Source organism: Homo sapiens, chromosome 14 (genome assembly GCF_000001405.40).
Source record: "Homo sapiens chromosome 14, GRCh38.p14 Primary Assembly".
Taxonomy (NCBI): Eukaryota; Metazoa; Chordata; class Mammalia; order Primates; family Hominidae; genus Homo; species Homo sapiens.
In genome coordinates this window covers 98,087,040-98,093,303 of record NC_000014.9, presented here as the reverse complement: position 1 = coordinate 98,093,303, position 6,264 = coordinate 98,087,040, and the positions used below count along the sequence as shown (strand labels likewise).

At 40.0% G+C, this 6,264-nt stretch overlaps 2 long non-coding RNA genes across 4 annotated transcripts in view; both read left to right on the top strand.

Annotated features, from left to right (window-relative positions):
- The window catches only part of LOC105370655 (uncharacterized), a 102,277-nt gene that overhangs the window by 72,861 nt on the left and 23,152 nt on the right, over positions 1-6,264 (top strand). The window lies entirely within an intron of this gene.
- Positions 107-5,370, top strand: LOC105370654 (uncharacterized). 3 transcript variants are annotated; one of them, XR_007064391.1, is made up of 3 exons: positions 107-187; positions 303-449; positions 4,996-5,370. It is a non-coding gene; the product is annotated as an uncharacterized LOC105370654 (long non-coding RNA). The 3 variants fall into 3 exon arrangements; XR_944191.2 differs by having other exon boundaries at positions 303-587; XR_944192.4 differs by lacking the exon at positions 303-449 and adding an exon at positions 450-587 and having other exon boundaries at positions 120-187.

The following is a 6,264-nucleotide window of genomic DNA, read 5'->3' as shown; positions in this document are numbered from 1 at the left end:
TTTGCATGACTGAACCTGGGAAGTTACAAAGCATTGTTCTGTCATAATCTGTTCACTGAGGCAGTCACAAAAGTCTACGTCATTTCAAAGGACATAAACTCCTCCCCTTGATGAAAGGAAAGGAGAGTCAAAGAATTCAGGAATCACCTTTTTCAAATGTTTCATTCCCTTTTTCCATTCCTTAAAGGTACAATCTACTCTCCCACCAGGAGAGAGCTGTGCTGAGCTCTGCCCTTTCACTCCCACAACCTAATTAATCCTGTCCATCCTATTGACTCCAGTTCCTTCTTTTCTTCTGCAAGGAAGCTCTTCCTAAGACTCGGAGCTGCTCAGATCCCCTCTTTATAGAGGCTTCTTCCACCATGCACATCTTTGCCATTGACATGCACTCACTGCCAGTGTCATTCTAAGCTGAAGTTATTGATTGATGCATCACCCTCCTTCATTAGGTAATGAACTCCCCAAAGGCAGAGACGTTAATGGATGAATGAAGAAATGAAATGAGAAGGAGCTAGAAATGGAACATGCTATCTGTGATGGTGCCTGCAGAGCTGTCTGCATCCCATTATGCCTCACTGTATGGAAAGGTAGATCATTCTAGTTTATGAGTCAGGAAAGGCAAGGCCTGTCTTCAGAGCACAATGTTGGGAGGTCCTCCAGGAGAAATGTACAACTCTCTTGCCCTATTTCCTAATCTTTCCAAATGAATGAACAAAAACACTTTATGGCTTCCCCTGGCAGCCTCTGGCCTTTTCACGTGGCAGAAAATGAAGGTATGGTTGCCAGGCTTGCCCAAGATGGTTTGCGTGTAAGCAGGAGGGCACAGGGTGGGAGGCAGTAACAAGAAGCAAACCTGCAGTTACACCTGGATATTCCCCTCTTTCTAACCCTGGGGGCACCTGGATGCTTTCCAGAAGGACAGCACCTGGGTCCCCCACTGTCTGGACAGCTGCCATGTGCCTTTGCTTCCTCCTGAATATCGGGCAGAACAGCCAGCGCTGTGAGAGGGACGCAGATCCCAATGCATGAGGTCAGGTGTACGGAGGGTGGGTTCTTAAACAAGTCATCCCACCTTCCTGAAACCATGCAGTCACACTTTCCCTGCTTCTTGGTACGCTGATTTTTTTCTCCAAAGCAACTGTTCATCCCGAACACACACACACACACACACACACACACACACACACACACACACACACGCACAGGTGACCCCCCAAATCCCTAAGTCCCAGTAGATGGGGTTAGATGATCCACTTAGTGAAATGTTCCAACAACAAAGAATGCTAACGTGGGAGGTAAGAAAACAAAGGCATTTTTCCTACTCTCATTTAAGAATTTACCAGGTCCAAAAGAACAATATTGAAAAAAGGTAGGAAATGGGCTTGGCTCCATTTTGGGTACTTTTTTTTTTTTTTTTTAATATAAGTTGTCAACTTTCTAACAATCAAGTCTTGTTCTGTATTTACTTTTAAAAAGCCCCCTTCTTGGGGTCCACCATTTAAATGACTATAATACATAACCCTGGTCAAGTCACTTCCTCCTTCCGTGTCTCATTTTCCACTCCTCTAAGCTAGGACAAGCATGGAGTAGTTTGCTTCTCAACCCCTTTATTCTAAGGCTGCACTCTTCAACACAGTTGTCATGGAAGCCACATGTGGCTGTTGAGCATTTGAAGTGTGGCTAGTCTGAATTGAGATATGATTGCAAGTATAAAAATATACACTAAATTTCAATCATGCAGTATGAAAAATAATGTAAAATATCCCATAAATAATTTTTATTAGCCCAGTGTGGTGGTGCACACCTGTAGTCCTAGCTACTCAGGAGGCTGAGGCAAGAGGATTGCTTGAGCCTAGGAGATTAAGACTGTGGTGGGCCATGATCACATCACTGCACTCCAGTCTGGGTGAGAGAGCAAAACCCTGTCTCCAAATAATTATAATTATAAAAATGGTTATTTATTTTTATCTTTATTTCATATTCAAATTATAATATTTTTGATATATTGCGATACATCAAATTTCTGTCTCAAATTAATTTGTTTTTATTTTTTGTAATGTGCCTACTAGAAAATGTAAAATTATATATGTGGCTTGCATTATATTTATCTGGGCAGCTCTGTTCTAAAGAATAGATTTCCTGACATATTAATGATCACCATTCTAACTGGAGTGAAATGGTATCTCATTGTGGTTTTGATTTGTATTTCTCTAATGACCAGTGATGATGAGTTTTGTTTTGTTTTTTTCATACGTTTGTTGGCCGCATAAATGTCTTCTTTTGAAAAGTGTCTGTTCGGCCAGGTGCAGTGGCTCACGCCTGTAATCCTAGCACTTTGGGAGGCTGAGACGGGTGGATCACAAAGTCAGAAGATCGAGACCATCCCGGCTAACATGGTGAAATCCCGTCTCTACTAAAAATACAAAAAATTAACCAGGCGTGGTGGCAGCCACCTGTAGTCCCAGCTACTCGGGAGGCTGAGGTAGGAGAATGGTGTGAACCTGGGAGGCGGAGCTTGCAGTGAGCCGAGATCATGCCACTGCACTCCAGCCTGGGTGACAGAGTGAGACACCGTCTCAAAAAAAAAAAAAAAAAAAAAAGGGTCTGTTCATATCCTTCACCCACTTTTTGATGGGGTTGTTTTTTTCTTATAAATTTGTTTAAGTTCCTTGTAGATTCTGGGTATTAGCCCTTTGTCAGATGGATAGATTGCAAAAATTTTCTCCCATTCTAAGTTGCCTGTTCACTCTGATGATAGTTTCTTTTGCTGGGCAGAAGATCTTTAGTTTAATTAGATCCCATTTGTCAATTTTGGTTTTTGTTGCAATTGCTTTTGGTGTTTTAGTCATGAAGTCCTTGCCCATGCCTATGTCCTGAATGGTATGGCCTAGGGTTTCTTCTAGGCTTTTTATGGTTTTAGGTCTTACATTTAAAGTTTTAATCCATCTTGAGTTAATTTTTATATAAGGTGTAAGGAAGGGGTCCAGTTTCTGTTTTCTGCTTGTGGCTAGCCAGTTTTTCCAACACCATTTATTAAACAGGGAATCCTTTCCCCACTGCATGTTTTTTTCAGGTTTGTCAAAGATCAGATGGTTGTAAATGTGTGGTGTTATTTCTGAGGACTCTGTTCTGTTCCATTGGTCTATATATCTGTTTTGGTACAAGTATCATGCTGTTTTGGTTACTGTAGCCTTGTAGTATAGTTTGAAGTCAGGTAGTCTGATGCCTCCAGCTGTGTTCTTTTTGCATGGGACTGTCTTGGCTATACAGGCTCTTTTTGTTCCATATGAAACTTAAAGTAGTTTTTTTTTTTTCTAATTTGGTGAAAAAAGTCAATGGCAGCTTGATGGGAATATCACTGAATCTATAAATTACTTGGGGCAGTATGGCCATTTTCACGATATTGATTCTTCCTATCCTTGAGCATGGAATGTTTTTCCATTTGTTTGTGTCCTCTCTTATTTCCTCGAGCAGTGGTTTGTAGTTCTCCTTGAAGAGGTCCTCCACATCCCCTGTAAGTAGTATTCCTAGGTATTTTATTCTCTTTGTAGCAATTGTGAACAGATTCTGGAGAAGATGTAGATAAATAGGAACACTTTTACACTGTTGGTGGGAGTGTAAATTAGTTTAACCATTCTGGAAGACAGTGTGGTGATTCCTCAAGGATCTAGAACTAGAAATACCATTTGGCCCCAGCAACGCTATTATGAGTATATACACAAAGGTTTACAGATAATTCTACTATAAAGACACACACACATATATGTTTATAGCAGCACTATTCACAATAGCAAAGACTTGGAACCAACCCAAATGTGCATCCATGATAGACTGGAAAAAGAAAATGTGGCACATATACACCACGGAATACTATGCAGCCATACAAAAAGAATGAGTTCATGCCCTTTGCAGGGACATGGATGGAGCTAGAAACCATAATTCCCAGCAAACTAACACAGGAACAGAAAACCAAACACCACATGTTCTCACTCATAAGTGGGAGCTGAACAATGAGAACATATTGGCACAGGGAGGGGAACATCACACACTGGGGCCTGTCGGGGGGTGGAGGGCAAGGGGAAGGATAGCATTAGGAGAAATACCTAATGTAGATGACGGGTTGATGGGTGCAGCAAACCAACGTGGCACAAGTATACCTAGGTAACAAACCTGCACATTCTGCACATATATCCCAGAACCTAAAGTATAATTTTAAAAAAAGATTATATCAAGTAAATTAATAAAAAGCAACTGGATAATATAAATAGACATATATCTCAAGAAAAAAATGATTTCTTGCAATTTTTAGATGAAGTTCCATATAGATTAATAGCCCCTCAATGACTTAGGAAATCTAGCTCTGTTGTACATAGCTGTTAAAATAAACATCACAGTCATCAGTGATGAAAGACAATGATAATGATTCTTCCAATTTAGGCTATTCTGCAAATGTCTCTCAGACAAGTGTGATCCATGTTCTAGAATTATATATTACTGTCACTACATTCCAACAACGCTCAGAGAGGACAAACGGCTAGACCGTGGTCACACAGATGAAAAGTGACAGAGGCAGGTTTACAAGGTCTTCTTTCAGATCCAGGTTTCATGCCATTTAAAACATCTACCCAAGGGAAGTTTGATTGAGGTAGGTGCTCATAATGTATTTTACTAGAGTGCAGCTTCAGGTAATCTAATTTTAAAATTATTATAAAATTATAAATCTGCTCTGCTTTTCCTGAGAGTAGAGGTGACCTGCTAGTATTTTGGAATGAATTAAATATCTCTCTCCTTAAAGTATACTTTTTGTGTGAAGGGTTTTTGTGGTGAAGGATTAACAACAAACCAAATACTTCTTATATTCACAATCTCTTTGTATCCCCTTCCCCCACCCAGGGATTTAATGCTAGACTCTTATTTTAGAAATATGGTCTCTATCCCTTTAAATAATAATAATAATAAAAAAACTTTCTCTTGTTCCCTGAACTTCATCTACAGCCTCCGAGGGACTGGAGATTTGTCTATGATCAGTGCATATTCCGCTCTGTGTACGAATCACAAATGTTGATAGAAATAGCCATGGGGTGTGCAAAGAACCCATTTCGTATGTCAGAAGAGTTGGGCCTCCGTTAGATGAAATGTCAAGGGAAGGCAGATATCTCAATGGGAAATGACCTTAAGAAAGCCCCGACCTCGCCAAAGATGACCTTTTTGCAGCAAGAAACATTAAAATTACAACCATATTCATGTTTTAGTTTCAAAAACAATATGTATTTCTCCTCCACACTCTCCTGGCTTGGCAACCTACATATCTTAAATAAAGATATACCGGGGTCCTATTTCTACTTGGCAGAGCCAAGTTGATTTATTTCTGTCTGAACACACCCGCGGAATGAAGCTGCTCTTTTTAATTCCTCAAGGGGCTCATTGGAGGTCCATTTTATTGCTATTTTAGCTGAATGTTTTACTGCTATATCTGTATTTAATATTTCCAGTGTGGCCTCATTTTTGGAATTTTTTCCCCCAAAATCCCACAGGCACCCTTGTATTAACTAAAATATATGTCTTATCAATGTGTTAATCAAACTAAAAATTCTGAGGCTGTTAAAATGCAGCTATGGAGAAATGTCCATATCTGATAGCATTTGGGTCTTCAAGTGGCAAGGTAGAAAGTGACAGATCAGGGGCAGAAATTTATTTTCATAGCAGTGACAGAATGATTCTGGTCAAACTCTACATTGAGAAACAGGCTTTACAAGGTACTTACTTTACTCTAGCTTATTATTTTTGTTGTTTGTTTATTTTTAATCTACCTGCTTTTCAATGCCTCGTCTTACAAATCCATTTTCTTGATCAGCACTAATCCTGTGGAACATGGAAAGCCCTTTTCCTCAACACCTAACTTCTGAAGTAAAACAAATATTTCAAAGCACCTGTCATTGTCACAAAGGGAGAATGACTTTGGAGTTCTCCAGGATTTGTGTGTGTGTTTTTCAAGGTTACATGATGCAAATACTCCCAGTCCCCTACACGAGTGGAAAATTAGAATTAGAACCCTTTCCAAAACAGGGCACGAATGAGAGCTGCAAACTGTTTACTAGGGCTAAGTCACGGCCAAATGCAGATGCCAGTGGCACGTGGTGAGGTGTGTTGGAAAAGCGTTATTGTTACTTTTGATCTGGCTTGCACTGGTCAATTCACTCCAATCCTTGCCTTCAAGTGAGAAGAATGGCACCTATGTTATGCATCTGCTGTGAAAACAGTGAA